Here is a 22140-nt window from a genome sequence, read left to right as displayed (position 1 = left end):
CTGGTGCCAGATATTGGGGGAAATTCATCCCCGATATTTCACATAGGTTCTTTTCTATATTCCCTAAGTGTCGGCCAGTCTGAGAAATAAAGGGAAAGAGTACAAAAGAGAGAAATTTTAAAGCTGGGTGTGCAGGGGAGACATCACATGTCGGCAGGTTCCGTGATGCCCCCGAGCCGTAAAACCAGCAAGTTTTTATTAGTGATTTTCAAAAGGGGAGGGAGTGTATGAATAGGGTGTGGGTCACAGAGATCACATGCTTTACAAGGTAATAAAATATCACAAGGCAAATGGAGGCAGGGCGAGATCACAGGCCACAGGACGGGGCAAAATTAAAATTGCTAATGAAGTTTCAGGCATGCATTGTCACTGATAACATCTTATCAGGAGACAGGGTTTGAGAGCAGACAACTGGTCTGACCAAAATTTATTAGGCGGGAATTTCCTCGTCCTAATAAGCCTGGGAGCACTACAGGAGACCAGGGCTTATTTCATCCCTTATCTATGATTGTAAAAGACAGCCATCCCCAAAGCGGCCATTTCAGAGGCCTACCCTCAGGGATGCATTCTCTTTCTCAGGGATGCTCCTTGCTGAGAAAAAGAATTCAGCGATATTTCTCCTATTTGCTTTTGAAAGAAGAGAAATATGGCTCTGTTCCGCCCAGCTCACAGGCAGCCAGAGTTTAAGGTTATCTCCCTTGTTCCCTGAACATTGCTGTTATCCTGTTCTTTTTTCAAGGTGCCCAGATTTCATATTGTTCAAACACACATGCTCTACAAACAATTTGTGCAGTTAACTCAATCATCACACGGTCCTGAGGCAACATACATCCTCCTCAGTTTATGAAGATGACGGGATTAAGAGATTAAAGACAGGCATAGGAAATCACAAGGGTATTGATTGGGGAAGTGATAAGTGTCCATGAAATCTTCACAATTTATGTTCAGAGACTGCAGTAAAGACAGGCATAAGAAATTATAAAAGTATTAATTTGGGGAATTAATAAATGTCCATGAAATCTTCACAATTTATGTTCTTCTGCCATGGCTTCAGCTGGTCCCTCTGTTTGGGGTCCCTGACTTCCCGCAACAGTGCCACTGCACTCTGGCAACAGAGTGAGACTCTGTCTCAAAAAAAAAAAAAAAAAGAAAGAAAAGAAAATTAAAAAAACCAAAAAACGGGCCAGGCATGGTGGCTCACACCTGTAATCCCAGCACTTTGGGATGCCAAGGCAGGTGGATTGCTTGAGTCCAGGAGTTTGAGACCAGCCTGGACAACATGGCAAATACTCATCTCTAAAGAAAAAAAAAATTAAAAAAATTTTAAAACCAAAGCGCTATTTGTTGCTATGCATCAGATTCAAGCAAAAGATTAAAAACAAAATACATATGTCAGTGTGTGCTGTTATAAGGACAGGATTTAATTTTTATTTATAGTTTTGCCCAATATATACCATGTGCAATTGTATAGTATCTAAGAAGTCTTAGGAAAAGTGGAAAAGCAAAAATTCATAATATAGTTAACTTAAAATTACAAAAAATTTTAAGGTAAATACTGAAAATTTCAGTGGCATAGGAGAGTCTACTATACACATATCCTTGGAAGAAGGCAAAATATCAACTTACTTCAGAGAATAATGTAGCCAGTGGAACATACTCTAACATTTGCTACTGTTCAACCAAAATAATTTTAGGTAGGGCTTTTATCTCATCCTTCAGTTATTATTATTTTATTCTTCTTATTGTTCTCATTATTATTTATTCTCATTATTATCCTATTAAGTTCTAGAAATATAAAAACAATGTAGGACTTCCATTCTCATTTTGGACCATACGTCTTCCTCAAATAAAGACAAATTATCAAAACCACTGGGCAAGTTTTCAGAGTATGTTCATTACAATTCAATCTCTCAATACTTAAAAAAAATCAAACATGGTTTACCACATTCTTATTTGGCTTTATTCAACTCACTGGGAGAAAGTAAATTGTAACATTTAAATGAAAAATTAGGAGCTTTTATTAAAGAATTAAGATTGTTCTCAAACTTAATGATGAGACACTTATTTTACTGAGTACACTCTTCTTCTTTGCAAAAATTCGGTAGCTGTATCTTTCCCTTAAGCTTCAGACAGACATAATAATGCAGCCAACAAACTATATATTACACATCTGGTGTCTACTTGCAATGTTATGTAACAGCCAAACACCAGAGTGGGTTATCCCAGTCAAAGCATGTCAGATATTGCACTAGGACTTTTGAATCTCAGACCATTGAAAAAAAAAAAAAGGAAGAAAGAAAAGATTTCTATGAAAGCTTTCTGTTTTGAGCGCTATACATTTTTTAACAAGGGAGCAAATAACAGAAAAAACAAACATACACACACAAATGAGGGATTATGAAATCACTTACCTCCTGTTGTTCCATATATTCTCTATGTCTCCGAGCTGCCTCATGCCTCCATAACTTTAGGCAAACCAAAGCACTAATGAGATAAACTATCATGGTGACAAACAGGAAGATCATTGCAGCTATCTGTCCTCCTTCTACCCGGCAGAACACTGCATTCACTGGTGTATTAAATAACGGATAGTAGCAGAGGCCACCTCGGTTGGTATCATTCACATAGACTATGGCTGCGGCCATATACAAAATAAACAAGGCAACGTTAATTCCAAATTCAGTTAGGGGCCACCAATTAGAGTCCAGAAGAATGGTCCGGTAATACATGGACATGCCAAGAACCAGAATAATAATGGTGGTGATCCAAGCTAATCCAGCAACCACGAGTACAAAAGGGGTCTTAGGGCCAGTGTAGTAATAGCCCCCATACATACTGCCCAATCCACCAACGCCTCCCATGCCATACGGTTGTGAATATCCAAACAAGTTGTACCACTCACTGTCCTTGTGAATGTAAGCTGTGACACAAGCAAAGACACCGGCCCCCAAAAGCAGCTCCACCACACCCAGTATTCTCAGCAGGCCTGCCCACGACTTCATGTAGGAGTATCTCAGGTTATACTCCTCCACCTTCTCACTGTATGTTCGAACTGTTTGTGTGTGTCGGTCTAGAGATCCATAGGGATCCCGGGGAAACACTGCGTCAGCCTCTTTCCGGGAACTAAAGGTTCCTTCTGACCCTCCGTAGGGATCTTTGCAGGAGTTGAGGGGCGAACGGTGGTTTGGTCTTGCTGGAGAGGCTGGTGGTGAACACTCCACTCCATCGGAGATGTACCTGATATCAGACACCGGCTTATCCCATTCGGGGTCCTTTTTCTTCCCTCTGAAAAAGTTCTTCCAGGAGTCAGGGACAAAGCGCCTTACTGGTTTGAGATCTGGCGCTATAGCTGGTTCTTCTGTGTCACTTGAGTAGAAGTCTGGGCCGAATGGTGGCTGTAATGGGAGAGGGGGTGGTGGCAAGGGATCAGCGCTCACTGCCCGCTCACTGTCATGAAGAGTTGGGTGGGTTCTTATGGTGGTATCTTGATAGGGCAGGTCGCTTGGGACCTCATCGTAGCGCCTGTCCCGATTCCTGGATCTTCCATCATTTGACATTTGTGATTTTCACACCTGTGGCCAAATTTAAAGTTATCACTTATGATTAGTTACTTATCCTCTCAATGATGCTGATTTTATTCATGTAGTAGCAAAAAGTATTTAGGAGACCAACAGGATCATGTCTAATTATTATGATATACAAAAATGATAAATATGATACCGGGCACGGTGGCTCATGCCTGTAATCCCAGCACTTTGGGAGGCCAAGACAGACGGATCATTTCAGGTCAGGAGTTTGAGACCAGCCTGACCAACATGGTGAAACACTATCTCTACTAAAAATACAAAAACTAGCCAGGCGTTGTGGCATGCGCCTGTGATCCCAGCTACTCAGGTGGCTGAGGTATAGACCGCTTGAACCCGGGAGGCAGAGGTTGCAGTGAGTCGAGATTGCGCCACTGCACTCCAGCCTGGCTGACACAGTGAGTCTCTGTCTCTAAAAAAAAGAAAAAAAAAAAGAAATGAAAAATGATTTATAAATCTAATTTATCTGTGAGCCCTATTAAACAATAAAATAAAAAACAAAAGTGACAAAACTTTAACACAACAGAACGCGAACACACTCCCAAGTAGAGTCATTTCCTCAAACATCTAAATCAAAATACTAAGAGTTTGAGTGTAGCGAAATTTGATGGGTCAGCAAATATTCTTCATTTTCACTTGGAATAGCCTAGGAGAGGCAGTCTGTTAAAACACAGGGTATGCACAGCCCTTCCCCTTCCTAAATCAACAAAGTCATTTTAGAGGACTTGCTTCTTCCAGTCTAAAATATTAACAATTGAAACTAGATGTAAAAAAGTTGAATCTCAGAGACAACATCACCAAAGGCTAAGGCTCCCCCAAGGCACAATAGAGAATGGCAGCAATGACCATTACTATTACTCTTTCGAGGGCAATTCAGGTGATTTACTGTTCCCAAGGAGAGACTCAAGTATCTCAGAAGGTATTCAATCCACCTCAAAAATAAAGCATAGAAAATGCACTTTTACTAAGCCTGTTGATTCATGAAATCAATGCTCTGCACCCATATACAGAAAGAAGGAAACCATTTGTGAATTAACTACTAGTTTTAAGGTATGCTGAATTTCTCTCTCGAATTGTTTATAAGTATTTTGTTTGAAGACTTAAAAAAATTTTTTCATTCACACCCTGCCAAGACTCATTATTGAAGACTTAAACTGGGCACATGGTATTGTACTTGATACTATGAAGGTCTCAAAATTAAAATGGATAACCCCATCTTTTTTGTTATTGTTTTATTTATTTAATATTTTTAAGACAGGGTCTCACTCTGTTTCCCAGGCCAGAGCATAGGAGCACAATCATAGCTCACTGCAGCCTCAATCTCCCTGGCTCAAGCACTCCAGCTGCCTCAGCCTCCTGAGTAGCTGGGACTACAGGTGCATGCCACCATACCCAGCTAATTCTTTTTTTTTTTTTTTTTGAGACAGAGTCTCAATCTGTTGCCCAGGCTGGAGTGCAGTGGTGCCATCTCGGCTCACTGCAAGCTCCGCCTCCCAGGTTCATGCCATTCTCCTGCCTCAGCCTCCCAAGTAGCTGGGACTACAGGTGCTCGCCACCACGCCCGGCTAATTTTTTGTATTTTTAGTAGAGATGGGGACCATGTTAGCCGGGATGATCTTGATCTCCTGACCTCATAATCCACCCGCCTCGGCCTCCCAAAGTGCTGGGATTACAGGTGTGAGCCACCACGCTCGGCCGCTAATTCTTTAAAATTTTTAGTAGACATTAAGTATCACTATGTTGCCTAGGCTGGTCTTGAACTCCTGGGCTCAAGCGATCCTCCTGCCTTGGCCACCCAAAGTGCTGGGATTACAAGCGTTAGCCACTGCACCTGGTCTGATAACCCCATCTTTATACTGTTGAACAATTTGGAAATTCCTAAGGCTTTATTTTATTTTACTTTGGAAAACGAAGACCCTTCATTTAACCTGCCTTGCACCAGGCATGCTGAAAGTATACTGGTGGACAAACCAGACTGAAATCCTTGCCTTCATGATGCTTTAACCGGGGGAGTGCCGGGCAGATTGACAGATGATAGATAAATGAAATATACAGTATGCTAAAGAACAAAGTTGAGAAAGGGGGTAAAGACTGCAATGGGGACAGGATGTTACCATCTTAAACCGAGTGGGCAGGGAAATCTTCACAGAGAAAGGGATATCTGAGTATAGAACTGAAGGTGAAGGAGGAAGCCAGGCCATTATCAGGGACAAGTGTTCAGGCAGATGGAATAGCTAGCGCAAATGCCCTGAAGCAGGAGTGCCTGGTATGTTCAAGAAATATTTAGGCATGGAAGCTACTGTGGCAGCAGCAAAGTGGGTAAGAAGGTGAATAGTAGAACTGAGGCCATCTGAATCATGTAGGGCCTTGAAAACCACTGGAAAGAAAGGACTTTGTCTTTTGCTAGGAGTGAGATGAGAAGCCACTGGAGGATTCTGAATAGAGGAGTGACATGACTTGACTTGTTTTAACAGTATCACTATGGATGCTGTGTTGAGAGTACACTCCAGAAGGCAAGAGGTAAAACAGGAAGACTGGCTAGGCCATTGAAATAATCCAATGGATCACTGAGATCTTGAGAAGAGGTCAAATGCTAGACAGGTATTTAAAATTTTTATTATAGAATTTTTCAAACATAATAAAAAGTAGAAAGAATAGCATTATGAACCCTTGTGTACCCACATCCAGCTTCTACACTTATCGATTTATGGCCAAACTTGTTTCATTTATACTCCCCATACTATTTCCTCTGCCAATAGAGTCCTCTGAAGTAAACCCCAGACATCTGATCATTTTATCTATCTATACCTCATTCTCCACCCCTCCAGCTTAGCCTTGGGGAGCAGCAGACTGAAGAGTGTTTCAGATGCGTTAAAAATCCAGGTAGAGACGTTAAGAGGGCAAGCAAGGCACACAGGGTATGTACAGACTGGAGACAAGGGAATGCGGTGGAAACCCAGGGTCTTCTAATAGGGCACTCCGACCTTAGAGGATTAACTGTGATGGCCCCAGCAGGGTGCCCAATGCAAAGCGGCTCTGTATATTATAACAATCAGTTATTTTTGTACCTTTCTCTTTCTTTCTCTAAAAAAGTGTAAGTTCTAGAAATGCTATTACGACTCTAGTTTTTGAAACACATTCCTAAGAAATGTAGAAGCAAAAGCACAACAAATGATTTTAGCAAGTTTTACACAGCATTTACAGGATACGCTATGCTTAATTCAACTCACTGGTAAAAATACGATTCACTGTAATGGATTTAACTCTTCACCTGTGAAGTGGCTTATTTGAATCAAACCACCCTATCCATTTTTAAAGAAAAAACAAGCAATTATTAAAGAGTTGTGGAAAAGCAAGATAATGTGATTTTTAGAAGGGAATGGTTAGCTGTATTTCATTACATCTTAAATATCTGGATACCCCTAATGTCTTTCAAGATGTCACTGAGAGTTCGTTCTGGTCCCGCAGGTCGCGGCAGCGTGTGTCTTTGTCCTGCTCAGGCCCCGGACCCTTACTCCACTCTTGGACACTCATCTTGGAAAGCCGCGGCAATGGCAGGAGAAATGGCTGCCCCAGCAAAGTGTCACAGGAATCATGCCTGGTCACCTTTACACAAACAGAACCACCGGTTTACCTGGCTTAAAAGTTTTGCTGGACCCAAGAAACGGGTAGATTTCGGATACTTCTGCGCTTCCGAGGGGTCGGGAAAGGCTCTGCGGTTCTAACTAACCCACGACTGCCCGGGGGTACCGAGCATTTTAGCTGTGGGGTCTCCCCCGCGCCAGCCTCTGGGCGCCCGGTCCCACAAATCTCATTGTGTCCTCGGTTCTGCCCGCGCCGGCTAGGCGTTCGTCTTCGCGTTTCTGGCTGAAACCCACTGTCTTTGGAGATTCCGACCCAACGAGGCCGAAACTAAGCCGGGAGACCTCCCAGGTAAGGAGCACCGAGATCGCCCCGAGGTGCGCGCCCCGCCCCGCGCCCGGAAGGACGGCGGCTCGGCCGCACCTGCGTCCGCAGAGCGAAACCTGGCGGGACGCGGGCCTCCCCGGATCCCTGGCTCCGGCCTCCCCCGCGGGCTATGGCAGGCTGAGCGCCGAGCGCGGGCAGCCGTCCGTCGCAGCACACCTGGGCCGGGGGCCGCCGGGCCCTCCTCTCCCGGTCACGTGGCCCCACCCCGGTCCCACTTACCTGCGCAGCCGCCAGGAAGAGCGCGCACGCTGCCCAGGACTCTGAAACCGGTATCGGGCTCCCGGGGTGGGGGCGGGGCCGGGACGGGACGAGCCCAGCTTTCCCCGCCCGGCTTTGCCCCGCCCGGATCTGTCGGCCCGACAACCGCTCTGGGCCCAGGCTGCTCGGTGCCACCAGCCGGCACGTCGCGGCAATGACCACACACTGGGCTCTTTTGGAAAGAGTTTACAGTTCTCATCGCAACGTTGCCATCCTCTTCCCTATCTTTTGAAAAGTTTGACACTGGGGGAGGGAGATTGGTGCACTGTGCTTAAGGACCCATGGCAGCGAGTGCGTGCTAGATAATGTTAAAAGACAGGAGAAACAAAATTAAATTCAACATTTTAATTGTGATATAACTTATGTAAATACTTTCCAAAAAGTATCTAAGATATTCCACTGTACAACACATCAAAACTATCTGAGAAGCGGGAGACAATAAAGTGTAAATAAGGCACACAGTTTACACTCGTAATTGCATCCTAAACTGTTGAATAGTTGATATTTACAACCCCCCAATAACGTTTTTGCATCCTGAATTAGTCCTTCACATCTTGATATTTGGCATAATGTTCAAACACACTTTATACACACTGACCGCTCCTTAAACCACTCACAGATTTAATAAATACCGAAAAAATTAAGAGATTTGAAGGCTTGATCTTCTATTTACTTCAAGATGACAGAAGAGTAGGTTTCTTGTGATGAAATACTACAAGAATGAAGAATTAACAAACTGTTGTGTAATTCATCAGAAAAGCATATTAACTCTGCTGAAGTACCACTGAATGAAACAAAAATGAAGCTGTGAAGTAGCAATCTGATTAGCAGGCTGGCTTCTATGTCCCATCACTCTCGTAGTCTTCTATTATTATGTTTTCTTCCATGTCTCCTTGGGCTGAAAAGGGCTGGGGCTGGCTAGCAGGCAGTTCACTGGCACTATTCTGACTCAAAGGAAGAGACCAGGTTTCCGGCACAGTGGCTTGAGTGGGTTCACCCAGAGATTCCTCTGCAGAATGTCCTCCATTAAGCTGGGCTTCATCTCCGCTGTCAGGGTCTATCATTCCATGTTCCCTGTCAGTCAGGGCTTCCATTTTCAATCTGTCAGATTCACAGTGCAGGCATTAATAAGAACCAAAGGAGAAGATTTTTAAATTACACCATGAGTGTGATGATTATGAAGCCATCTTTCATTTACCTACATTGTGCTGTTTAGCTAGTCCCTTTAACTATAAAAACAAAACTACAAGGTAAATGACAAACTGAATAAGTTCCTACAACTTAAAATACAAAAAGGAGCTGAACACGATGGCTCATGCCTGTACTATCTGCACTGTGGGAGGCCAAGGCAGGCAGATCACTTGAGGCCAGGAGTTCAAGACCAGCCTGGCCAACATGGCAAAAACCCATCTCTATTGAAAATAGAAAAATTAGCCAGGCGTGGTGGCACGCATCTGTAATCCCAGCTACTCAGGAGGCTGAGGCAGGAGAATTGTTTGAACCCAGGAGGCAGAAGCTGCAGTGAGCCAAGCTCGTGCCACTGAACTCCAGCCTGTACGACAGAGCAAGACTCTGTCTCCAAACAAAAAACAAACAAACAAAAAAACCAAACCAAACCACAACAACAAAAACACCTAAAAATAAAAAGAAATAATGTCTTCAGTAAAGAATTTTTCTTTTTTCTTTTTTTTCATTGAGACTGTCTTTCTCTATCGCCCAGGCAGGAGTGCAGTGGTGCAATCTCAGTTTACTGCAACCTCTGCCTCCCAGGTTCAAGCGATTCTCCTGCCTCAGCCTCCCAAGTAGCTGGGATTACAGGCACATGCCATCATGCCCAACTAATTTGTATTTTTAGTAGAGATGGGGTTTCACCATGTTGGCCAGGGTAATCTTGAACTCCCGAACTCAGGTGATCCATCTGCCTCCGCCTCCCAAAGTGCGGGGATTACAAGTGTGAGCCACCACACCCAGCCTTCAGTAAAGAATTTTTACAAATTAAAAAGGAAAAAATGAAATAGAAAAATGGGCACAAACATGGACAACTTATAAAACAAATACAAATGGTTCCTAAATTGTTAAATCTAATTTGTAATTTTAAAAATGAAAATTAACATAATGAGCTACTACTGTCATCTTTTTTTTTTTTTGAGACAGTCTTGCTCTGTCACCCAGGCTACAGGGCAGTAGCACGATCTTGGCTCACTGCAACCTCCACTTCAGGTTCAAGCGATTCTCCTGTCTCAGCCTCTGGAGTAGCAGGGATTACACGCGGGCACCACCACACCCAGCTAGTTTTTGTATTTTTAGCAGAGATAGGGTTTCACCATGTTGGCCAGGCTGGTCTCGAACTCCTGACCTTAGATGATCCACCCACCTCAGCCTCCCAAAGTGCTGGGATTACAAGCATGAGCCACTGCGCCTGGCCTATTACTGTCATCTTCTAAACTGGCAAAGATACTTTTAAAACCCAGTGGTGGCAAGGGTTAGGAGAAAAGAACATACTGATACACTGTAAGTGGATACAAAACTGGCAAAATATTCTTGCCAACAATTTGGCAATAAAGAGGAAAAGCCCCAAAAGGTATATACCTATTGATCCAGCAATTTCATTTGTAGGAATTCACCCTAAGTAAATAGTATTTGAAGTGCATGATGACTTATCTATAAGGCTGGGATAGTAAAAGCTGAAAAAAAGCTAAATGGGCAAAAATAACGTGTAGGTTGAATTACAGGAAATTAAACACCTATTAAATATTAAGTATTAATATTTAATACTAAATACTAAACATATGAACAATGGTTTTAAATATGGTCAACATAAATAAAAGATAGTACCAGTCATTGTAATATATAGCACTGAAAATACTGCCTCTCGTGGCCAGGCGTGGTGGCTCACGCCTGTAATCCCAGCACTTTGGGAGGCCGAAGTGGGCGGATCACGAGGTCAGGAGATCAAGACCATCCTGGCTAACACAGTGAAACCCTGTCTCTACTAAAAATACAAAAAATTAGCTGGGCGTGGTGGCGGGCGCCTGTAGTCCCAGCTACTCGGCAGGCTGAGGCAGGAGAATGGTGTGAGCCCAGAAGGTGGAGCTTGCAGTGAGCCGAGATCGTGCTACTGCACTCCAGCCTGGGCGATAAAGCTAGACTCCGTCTACAAAAAAAAAAGAAAAGAAAATACTGCCTCTCAAGTCACATCAAGTAGGTAGTTGAACCAATAATAAAATAGTGAAGATTCTCATTCAATTTAGCCTTGTGTAAATTGCAGCAACTCAATACATCTCAGGAGCAAAAATACAATAGAACATACTTGTCTTTATTTTGATGCCATAATCTTAGGGGGTTGGGGAGAGAAGCCATCAAAGAGACTTGGTCCTGCTTTCATTCAGAGGGATGTGAGAAGAAAAGCAGTGTTTATGAAATGTGTAAGCCCTGATCACATCCCAGTGGGACGATGCTTCAAGATCCATCCATCATGGTCTTTCTGCGATAGGAAAGATGGGCCCCACATAGCTAAGCCAGTATACAGAAAAAAACATTAACACTACAAAGGCCTTAATGAATCTTGGAGGGTAAAGAGGGGGAAAAAGCTCACATCACAGGAGTTTTCCATTTGGGACCAGAAATAGGAGAAAAGGTAGGAGGAGTCAGAGGTGCCATTTCTATCACTTACTTTTGTCCATGCATTCAGTAAGCAAGATTTTTTTAAATCTTTTTTTTGAGATGGAGTTTTGCTTTTGTTGCCCAGGCTGGGGTGCAATGGTGTGATCTTGGCTCACTGCAACCTCCACCTCCTGGGTTGAAGCGATTCTCCTGCCTCAGCCTCCTGAGTAGCTGGGATTACAGGCATGTGCCACCACACCCAGCTAAATTTTGTATTTTTAGTAGAGACACGGTTTCACCATGTTGTCCAGGCTGGTCTTGAACTCCTTATCTCAGGTGATCCACCTGCCTCGGGCTCCCAAAGTGCTGGGATTACAAGCATAAGCCACCACGCCCGGCCATTTTTAAAATCTTTAAACAATTCCTAAGTGCTTAATTCGATCTTACAAATAAGCTAAGTCAAACTGAAATATAAGTTTTGTGTTAATCACTGATAATGGCACAGAAGCTACTTTCCAATAAAATGAACAGTATATATATATATATATATATATATATATATAGACAGACATCTATTTTTTGCTTGTTTAAATTTTCTAAAATAAGAAAATATGAAGGACTCTTCTACTTTCTGAGGCAGTTCCTAGTCACTGCAGGTCTTCAAGCATAGGCTAAGAACATCTCTCAACAGGAAAGCTGGCAAGGGGTTTCTAGATTTGTTGAGTTGGAGGATTTTAAAGATTCCTCTGCCTTTGTGATTCCATGCTTCCATTTAATCTGGTATAGTCCATTGGGAGTGGGTGAAGATATGCTGTTATATTTAAGAAAAGGAAGGGTCTACAATACAATTATGTTTATAAATTACTAGGTACAGTATGTCTTTCTTGGATGTTACAGGTAACAGTTATTGATTCATACTGAACATATTCAGTAGACATTTCATTATCAGCTTTTTGGAAATTGAGATGATCAGCTTACCTTCCAAAGTGTCGCTTCAGAGGGAGCCTTCCAATATCTTGGATAAAAGAAATCTGAGCTGAAACAGATTTTTTAAAAGTTGTAAACAATTTTCCAAAGAAAATATACAAATGGCCAATAAGCACCTGAAAAGATGCTGAACATCACTAATCTTTAGAGAAATGCAAATCCAAGCCATAGTGAGATACCAATTCACATCTATTAGGATGACTGTTACAAAAAACCAGAAAACAAGAAGTGTGGGTAAGGATGTGGAGAAGCTGGAACCCTTGTGCATTGCTCATGGGAATGTAAAATGGTGTAGCTGCTGTGGAAAACAGTATAGTGCATCCTCAAAAAATTAAAAATGGAATTATTGTATGATCTAACAATTCCACTTCTGGGTATATACCCAAAATAATTAAAAACAGAGTCTCAAAAAGATATTTGTATGCCCATGTTCATATCAGCATCAACAATAATCAATGGGTGGAAGCAACCCAAGTGTCCATCAACAGATGAATGGATAACCAAATATGGTATATACATCTCATGGAATATTACTCAGCTTTAAAAAGGACACATGCTCCAACACAAATGAACTGCGATGACATCATTCTAAGTGCAACTAGTCACAAAAGAACAAATATTGTATGATTCCACCTATATGAAGTATTTAGAGTCATAAATTCATAGAGACAGAAAGTAGAATGGTGGCTGCCAGGGGGAAGGGAAAATGGGGAATTAATGCTAATAGTTATAGAATTTCAGTTTTGCAAGAAGCAAAAGTTTCGGAAACTGGTTGCAGAACAAGGTGGATATACTTAACACTACTGCACTGTAGAATTCAAAATGGTTAAGATGATAAACTTTATGCTTTGTATACTTTATCACAATTAAAAATGCAAAAAGAAAAAGAATGACATAGTAAACTTTCAGGATGACAGCATAAGCTCTTGTGTACCCACTCCCAAAGATAAGCAAAATCGGTGAAAACTTTTAAAAATCAATCATTTGAAGTCTCTGGAAATTGTCCTAATAGCATACAGCAAATGAGAAAAGATCTATTCAAGAAAACCAAACAGGAAGAATCTGAGGCATCTGAGCCACTATCTCCTCCCTCCCATTCCCAACCCTGAGCTGAGAGGGCTCAGCTTGATGAACATTTCATTCCAGGTGGGTACAGCCAAGAACAAAGGACTCCTTCCTACTGGAGTGCAGCAGGGTGTTTGGGGCTTCCTTTCCCCACCTGGCCCTACTCATAGGATAAGAGGTTCTAACCCAAAGGCACTGTCCCCTGTCCCAGCTGCAGTCTCCCTTACCCCAGCTTGTTACATAGCAGAGGGTCCACACTGGGAGAGGCAAGCCAAAATAATCAGAGGCTACCTCTGCAGCTGGGCACCCACCCAGAATAAGTGGCTTAGAGATTTTGCCCAGAGGAGAGGCAGTCCGTAGGAAAAAGCTCCGAAGCCTTCCCCAAAGGAACTCACTTTATTTGAAACATAGTGTGGGGAAGTTCAAGCCTAAAGGGCACCCTGGAAACCAGCTCCTCTTAAATAAGAACAAGCTAAACATAAGCCAACTAGTTCATAAGAAACCAGGGAAAGAGACAACTAAGAAGGGCCCTCCTGGTTTCAGAACAACCCTCAGAAACTGGCTTGAAAGCCTACACCTGCCCAAATTAAACTGGATCAGCCTGTGGAGAAATTTTTGTCCTAGAGCACTGCTGAAAACAGAGCAATTAGATAGTAATTAGGGAGTAGTCAGGCACAGTGGCTCACGTCTGTAATCCCAGCACTTTGGGAGGCCAAGGTGGGTGGATCACTTGAGGTCAGGAGTTCAAGACCAACCTGGCTAACATGGTGAAACGCCATCTCTACTAAAAATAGAAAAATTAGCTGGGGATGGTGGCACATGCCTGTAGTCCCAGCTACTCAGGAGGCTGAAGCATAAGAATTGCTTGAGCCCAGGAGGCGGAGGTTGCAGTCAGCCATCGTACCACTGCACTCCAGTCTGGGTGACAGAGCGAGACTCTTTCCTCAAAAAAAAAAAAAAAAAAAAAAAAGTAATTAGGGTAGCCAACAGTGTGATAACAAAGGAAGCAAAGAGCTATACAGACATATCAGGGAAAGAGACAAAGTGAGCTCTGCTAAAACCACCATCATCCCAAGTAAACTGTGGGCACAGCCAAGGATGAGCTCTCTGAAGAGGGAGGAAGGCTTCATGTTGCAAAAGACAGACTTCATTACATGAGTTTAGCCAAGTCACTAAACAAATAAACAAGCACACAACAATAAAAACAAGCCCCAGAGGAGGAGAATCAATATTCTCCAAAATTGCTACAATATATTCCCTAAAACATCTAGTTTTCAACAAAAAATTATGACTGTAAAGAAACAGGAAAGTGTGACCTACACACAAGAAAAAGGTGGGTAAAAGAAACTGCCTTTGCGAGGGCTCACACATTAAATTTAACAGAAAAAGACTTCAGATAAACCATTATAAATATTTTCAAAGTAGAAAAGGAAATCATGCTCAAAGTAGTAAACAAAGCTGTAATGACAATGTCTCATGAAAAAGAGCATCAACAAAAAGACAAAAATTATAAAAAGAACCAAATGAAAATTCTGCAGTCAAAAGGTACAATAACTAAAATGAAAAATTCACTAAAGGGGCTCAACAGTAGATTTGAACCAGAAGTATCATCAAACTTGGACATAGGCCAGGCGTGGTAGCTCATGCTTGTAATCCCAGCACTTTGGGAGGCCGAGGCAGGCAGATCACCTGAGGTCAGGAGTTCAAGGCCAGCCTGGCCAACATGGCGAAACCCCGCCGGGCATAGCGGCACATGCCTGTATTCCCAGCTACTCAGGGGGTTGAGGCAGGAGAATTGCTTGAACTCAGGAGGTGGAGATTGCAGTGAGCTGAGATGGTGCTACCGCACTCCAGCCTGGACAACAGAGGGCGACTCTGTCTCCAAAAAAAAAAAAAAAAAAAAAAAAAAAAAAACTTGGACATAGATTGACATATAGAAGACAGAAGAAATATAAACAAAATCTCAGAAAAATGTGGAACACTTTCAAGTGAACATACCCTAATGAAAGACTAGAAGGACAGAAAGCAGCAGAAAAATATTTAAAGAAATAATGGCTGAAAATGACATAGTAAATAAAAGCGGAAGAAACAGTATAAAAATTGATAAGAAAAACCAAAACATCTTACTTTTACTAATTTTTATGAACCTTTTAAAGTTTGCACATCTAACACTATGAGGACCTTTGGATACTTAACCTGTTAAAAATTCTACTACACAGGCCGAAGCAGGCGGATCACCTGAGGTTAGGAGTTTGAGACCAGACTGGCCAACATAGTAAAACCCCATCTTTACTAAAAATACAAAAATTAGCTGGGTGTGGTGGTATGCGCCTGTAATTCAAGCTACTCAGGAGGCTGAGGTAGGAGAATCGCTTGAACCTGGGAATTGGAGGTTGCAGTGAGCCAAGATGGTGCCACTGCACTGCAGCCTGGGAGATACAGCAAGACTCCATCTCAAAAAAAAAAAAAAAAAAAAATCTACTACAAACAGAGTTATTTTAATTAACAAACAAAATTGTATATATTTACTGTGGGCAACATATTGTTTTAATATATATATAGTAGAATGACTATAGCTAATTAACATATATATTACCTCACAGAGTTATTATTTTTGTGGCAAAGACACTTTACATTCACTCTCAGCATTTTTCAAGAATACAATATATTGGTTCGGTGTGGTAGCTCACACCTGTAGTCCCAGCACTTTGGGAGGCTGAGGTGGGAGGATTGCTTGAACCCAGGAGTTCAAGACCAGCCTGTGCAACATGGCAAAACCCCATCCTTACAAAAAAAAAATACAAAAATTAGCCAAGTGTGGTGGTGCGCACCTGTGGTTACCAGCTACTCAGTAGGCTGAGGTAGGAGGATCACTTGGGCCAAGGAGGTTTAGGCTGCAGTGAGCCGTGATCATACCACCACAATCCAGCTTGGGTGACAAGAGTGATACTCTGACTCAAAAAAAGAAACAAAACCACACACACACACAAAATACTATTAATTATAGTCACCATGTTGTAAAATAGAATTCTTGAATTTATTCCTCCTACATAACAAAATTTTGTATTCTTTGATCAACAACTCCCCTACCACCCAAGCCCATGGTAATCCCATTCTGTGCTCTACTATTATGAGATCAACTTTTTTAGCTCCTATATAAGTGAGAATATGCAATATTTGTCTTTCTGTGCCTGGCTTATTTCATTTCAAATAAGGTCTTCCAGGTTCATCCATGTTACTGCAAATGACAAGATTTTGTTCTTTTTTATGGCTGAATAGTATTCCACTGTGTATATATACCATGTTTTCCTCATCCAATGGACAATTAGACTGACGCTATATCTTGGTTATTGTGAATAATGCTGCAATAAAACTGGGAGGGAGGGCAGATATCTCTTCAACATACTGACTTCATATTCTTTTTTTTTTTTTTTTGAGATGGAGTCTGGCTCTGTCACCTAGGCTGGAGTGCAGCAACACAATCTCAGCTCACAGTAACCTCTACCTCCTGGATTCAAGCAATTCTCCTGCCTCAGACTCCACGGTAGCTGGGATTACAGGAGTACACCACCACATCTGGCTAATTTTTTATATTTTTGGTAGAGACGGGGTTTCACCATGTTTGCCAGGCTGGTCTCAAACTCCTGGCCTCAAGTGATCCGCCTGCCTCGCCTCCCAAAGTGCTGGGATTACAGGCATGAGCCACTGCACCTGGCCTTGACTTCATATTCTTTGGATATATGTCCAGTAGTGGGACTGCTGGATCATATGGTAGTTCTATTTTTAGAGTTTTTTTTTTGTTTGTTTTTTGAGACAGAGTTTTGCTCTTGTTGCCAGGCTGGGGTGCAATGGCGTGATCGTGGCTCACTGCAACCTCTGCCTCCCAAGTTCAAGCAATTCTCCTGCCTCGGCCTCCCAAGTAGCTGGGATTACAGGCATGTGCCACCACGCCCAGCTAATTTTTGTATTTTTAGTAGAGGCAGAGTTTCATCATGTTGGTCAGGCTAGTCTCGAACTCCCGACCTCAGGTGATCCACCCACCTCGGCCTCCCAAAGTGCTGGGATTACAAGCGTGAGCCACCACGCCTGGCCTATTTTTAGTTTTTTTGGTGTTTTTTTTTTTTGTGTGTGTGTTTTTAGTAGAGATGGGTTTTCACTATGTTGCCAGGCTGCTCTCAAACTCATGACCTCGTGATCCGCCCGCCTCAGCCTCCCAGAGTGCTGGGATTACAGGCGTGAGCCACTGCGCCCGGCCTATTTTCAGTTTTTTAAGGAACCTCCATACTGTTCCTCAAAACAGCTGTACTAATTTACATTCTTACTAACTCTGTGATTCCCTTTTCTCCACACCCTAGCCAACGTTTGTTATCATTTATCTTTTGGTAACGGCCATTCTAACTGGTGTAATATGATATCTCATTGTGGTTTTAAGTGTGTTTCCCTGATCATTAGTGTTAAGCCTTAATGTTAAGCAGTTTTTCATATACCTTTTGGCCAGTCTTCTTTTAAGAAATGTCTATCTGGTCCTTTGCCTTTTGAGACAGCATCTCACTCTGTCCCCCAGGCTAGAATGTAGCAGCGTGATCTCGGCTCACTGCAACCTTCCCTTCCCAGGCTCAAACCATCCTCCCACTCAGCCTCCAAGTAGCTGGGACTACAGGTGTGTGCCACTACACCCGGCTAATTTTATCTATTTTTTTTTTTTTTGAAACAGAATTTTGCTCTTGTTGCCCAGGCTGGAGTGCAATGGTGCAAACTCGGCTCATGGCAACCTCCGCCTCCCGGGTTCAAGCAATTCTCCTGCCTTAGCCTCCCGAGTAGCTGGGATTACAGGCGCCCACCACTGCACCCAGCTAATTTTTTGTATTTTCAGTACAGGTGGGGTTTTGCCATGTTGGCCAGGCTGGTCTCGATCTCCTGACCTCAGGCGATCCACCCACCTCGGCCAACCAAAGTGCTGGGGTTACAGGCGTGAGCCACCGTGCCCGGCCAATTTTATCTATTTTTTGTAGAGACAGGGTTTCACCATGTTGCCCAGGCTGGAATTGCCTGTTTTTTAATTGGGTTGTTTTCTTACTATTGCATTCTTTGAGTTCCTTATATATTTTGATTATTAACCCCTTATCAGATGTATAATTTACAAATATTTTCTCCCATTATGTAGGTTGGCTCTTCATTCTGTTGTTTCCTTTGCTGTGCAGAGGCTTTTCAGTTTTGATGTAATCCTATTTGTTTATTTTTGCTTTTGTTGCCTATAATCAGGATCTTTAAAAAATAGCTCTTTGATATGAACAGCTTAGAGATGTGATCCCAGAATCTGAACTTTTAATTAGTGGAGAAATGATAAAAGTTAACTTCACCAGCAATTTTACCATCAGTTTCTCTTTTGTAATGTGTATTTTAAGGGCCATATTTCATTAATGATCACCTGTCTGTGGTGCTAATCTTCAAAACAGAAAACAGAATTTGTGTCATATTAAAAATGTTAGTAATCTACCATATAACTTATCAAAACATCTCAGAAATTTTATTTTATTTTTTTGGAGAGGGTCTCATCCTCACCCTGTCACCCAAGCTAGACAGGCTAGAGTGCAGTGGGGTGATCACAGCTCACTACACCCTTCACTTCCCGGGCTCAAGTGATCCCCTTACTTCAGCCTCCCGAGTAGCTGGGACTACAGGTGCAAGCCACAACACCCAGCTAATTTTTAAATTTTTTTGTAGAGACAAGGTATCACCGTGTTGCCTAGGCTGGTCTCAAACTCCTGGGCTCAAGCGATCTTCCCACCTTGGCCGCCCAAAGTTCTGGGATTATAGGCATGAGCCGCCATGCCTGGCCCAGAAATTTTAAAGATAGAGTTGACCTTATCAGTGATCAGAAGAAAGGATTAAAGACTAAATATCTACTTTGATACAATGAAGTGTTTTATCTTACAGCTTTTGTAAGTACTGATACTTAAAGTGTTTAAAATGTTGTGTATTCATAGGCAAAAATAACGTTTATGCAGTGGACATGATGAATCTGTTGGTCAGAATCCAGATATCTTTCCTCTCCTTGCCAATTTTTTTTAAGATCACTTCTGTGGTATTTCTGCCAAAAAAATACATATCCTGAATCCAATAATGAGGAATCACCAGACAAACCCAAATTGAGGGATCGTACAGTAACTGTCCTATATCCCTCTAAAATGTCATGGACAAAGAAAGACTACAAAACTGTTCCAGATCAAGGGAGACTAAAAACACACGGAAACTAAATCACTAAATGCATCAGGTTATCTTTCATTGGATTCTGGACAAGAAATGGGGAGTTATCATTTTACAAAGGAGATTATTAGGGCTGGGTGCAGTGGCCTGTGCCTATAATCCTAGCCCTTTGGGAGGCTGAGGCAAGAGGATTGCTTGAGGCCAGCAGTTCAAGACCAACCTGGCCAACAAAGCGAGATCCCATCTCTATTAATTAAAAATAATTAAAAAAGGATATTATTAGGACAATTGGAAAAATTTGAATGGGGACTATAAAATAAACGGTATTAAGTTAATTTCCTGATTTGATTGCACACTGTGGTTATGCAGGAAAATGTCCTTGTTTTTGGCAAGTGCAGACTTAAGTTTTTAAGAATAATGGGATATCATGCCTGCAATTTACTCAAGACTAGTTTAGCAAAATAATACATATATGTGCATGCTTATAAAGAGAGAGAATATAATCAGGCAAATATGGTAAAAAATGTAATAATCAGGAAACTTAGTGAAGGATATACAAGAATTTTTTGTACTATTCTTGCATCCTTACATTTAAAATAATTTTTTTTTTTTTTTGAGACAGAGTCTCACTCTGTCTCCCAGGCTGGAGTGCAGTGGCGTGATCTCAGCTCACTGCAAGCTCCGCCTCCCGGGTTCATACCATTCTCCTGCCTCAGCCCACTGAGTAGCTGGGACTACAGGCACCTGCCACCGTGCCCGGCTGATTTTTTATATTTTTAGTAGAGACGGGGTTAGCCAGGATGGTCTTGATCTCCTGACCTCGTGATCCGCCCGCCTCGGCCTCCCAAAGTGTTGGGATTACAGGCGTGAACCACTGCGCCCAGCCTGAAATAATTTCAAAATAAAGTTTAAAAACCAGTGGCCGGGCGCGGTGGCTCACGCCTGTAATTCCGCACTTTGGGAGTCCGAGGTGGGCAGATCACTTAAGGCCAGGAGTTCGAGATCAGCCTGGCCAACATGGTGACACCCCACCTCTACTAAAAATACAAAAAAAATTAGCCGGGTGTTGTGGCACATGCCTGTAATCCCAGCTACTTTGGAGGCTGAGGCAGGAGAATCGCTTGAACCTGGGAGGCAGAGGTTGCAGTAAGTCGAGATCATGCCATTGCACTCCAGCCTCAGCAACAAGAGTGAAACTCCATCTCAAAAAAAAAAACAAAAAGTTTAAAAACTAGTGTAATCTTTTTTTTTTTTTTTTTTTTTTTTGAGACAGAGTCTTGCTCTGTTGCCCAGGCTGGAGGGCAGTGGTGCAATCTCGGCTCACTGCAAGCTCCGCCTCCCAGGTTCATGCCATTCTCCCGCCTCAGCCTCCCAAGTAGCTGGGACTACAGGCACCCACCACCAGGCCTGGTTTTTTTGTTTTTTGTGGGTTTTTTTTGTATTTTTAGTAGAGATGGGGTTTCACCATGTTAGCCAGGATGGTCTCGATCTCCTGACCTTGTGATCCGCCCGTCTTGGCCTCCCAAAGTGCTGGGATTACAGGCATGAGCCACTGCACCCGGCCAAAAACTAGTGTACTCTTAAAGCAATTGGCAAGGAGAAGGGCAATCTCTGGATTCTGATCAACAGATTAATCATGACCACTGCCCAAAAGTTATCCCATTTTTGCCTATGAATGCATAACATTTTCAAAACTTGTGCAGATGTATACTGCCACAGGCATAGTAATGTTTGTAGCATTATAATTTCGTAACAGAAATATAATGAAAAATACTATTAATAGGCATTTTTGTAATACTGAAATCCACCAAAATATCCATCATAAGGTTAAATAAAATGTTTACAAATTGGAAAAAAATGAGATTGCTGCTCTGACATTAACTTATAAGATATGAAAGGCTATCCACAGTAAGTGACATAAGCAAATTAAAGCTTGCCTCATTCTGCATGTTTCTACATCCACAGAAGAGTATCTGGAAGAATTTACATTAATCTGTCAAAGCAACCTGTGGTTGTAGGGGAAGTACTTTCAATTTTTACTTTAGAAACTTTTTTCTTTTTTCTGAGACAGTCTTGCTCTGTCGCCCAGGCTGGAGTGCAATGGCCTGATCTTGGCTCACTGCAACCTCCGCCTCCGGGGTTGAAGGTTCTCCTGCCTCAGCCTCCCGAGTGGCTGGGATTACAGACGCGTGCCACCACGCCTGGCTAATTTTTTGTATTTTTAGTAGAAATGGGGTTTCCCAGCCTTGGCCTCCCAAAGTGCTGGGATTACAGGCATAAGCCACCACGTTCGGCTCTTTATATATTTCTGTATCATCTGATGCTTTTTGTTTTTTTGAGACAGACCTCACTTTGTCACCCAGCCTGGAGTGCAGGTGTGCGATCTTGGCTCACTGCAGCCTCCACCTCCTGGGTTCAAGTGATTCTCCTGCCTCAGCCTCCCGAGTAGCTGGGATTACAAGCGCAT

The 22140-nt window shown here is 42.5% G+C and overlaps 2 protein-coding genes across 22 annotated transcripts in view, besides 2 other annotated features; both read right to left on the bottom strand.

Moving 5' to 3' along the window:
• The window catches only part of MARVELD2 (MARVEL domain containing 2), a 29215-nt gene extending 21388 nt beyond the window's left edge, over positions 1-7827 (bottom strand). For 2 of the 5 annotated variants that reach the window (XM_005248445.5, XM_005248447.5), the window contains exons 1-2: positions 7219-7827; positions 2412-3572 (exon numbers count right to left, since the gene is read on the bottom strand). In XM_005248445.5, coding sequence (XP_005248502.1) covers positions 2412-3557 — 1146 coding nt within the window. In that variant the 5' untranslated portion in view covers positions 3558-3572; positions 7219-7827. The remainder of the gene's footprint in view (positions 1-2411; positions 3573-7218) is intronic. The other 3 variants (NM_001038603.3, NM_001244734.2, XM_005248446.5) reach the window with 2 other exon arrangements.
• Positions 6284-7166: an enhancer, noted in NCBI's record as "OCT4-NANOG-H3K27ac hESC enhancer chr5:68711604-68712486 (GRCh37/hg19 assembly coordinates)". NCBI's record gives its function as "activates a minimal SCP1, AML or CMV promoter by ChIP-STARR-seq in naive H9 embryonic stem cells {active_cell/tissue: H9 hESC(naive)}" and the evidence as "EXISTENCE:reporter gene assay evidence [ECO:0000049][PMID:30033119]".
• Positions 7167-8050: an enhancer, noted in NCBI's record as "H3K27ac hESC enhancer chr5:68710720-68711603 (GRCh37/hg19 assembly coordinates)". NCBI's record gives its function as "activates a minimal SCP1, AML or CMV promoter by ChIP-STARR-seq in primed H9 embryonic stem cells {active_cell/tissue: H9 hESC(primed)}" and the evidence as "EXISTENCE:reporter gene assay evidence [ECO:0000049][PMID:30033119]".
• The window catches only part of RAD17 (RAD17 checkpoint clamp loader component), a 45509-nt gene continuing 31510 nt past the window's right edge, over positions 8142-22140 (bottom strand). For all 17 annotated transcript variants that reach the window (NM_133343.2, XM_017009681.2, NM_133338.3 and 14 more), the window contains 2 exons: positions 12393-12450; positions 8142-8912 (listed from right to left, as the gene is read on the bottom strand). In NM_133343.2, the coding sequence (NP_579921.1) occupies positions 8651-8912; positions 12393-12450 (320 nt within the window). In that variant the 3' untranslated portion in view covers positions 8142-8650. The remainder of the gene's footprint in view (positions 8913-12392; positions 12451-22140) is intronic.

Source organism: Homo sapiens, chromosome 5 (assembly GCF_000001405.40).
Source record: "Homo sapiens chromosome 5, GRCh38.p14 Primary Assembly".
Lineage (NCBI taxonomy): Eukaryota > Metazoa > Chordata > Mammalia > Primates > Hominidae > Homo > Homo sapiens.
This window is presented reverse-complemented; position numbering and strand designations above follow the sequence as displayed.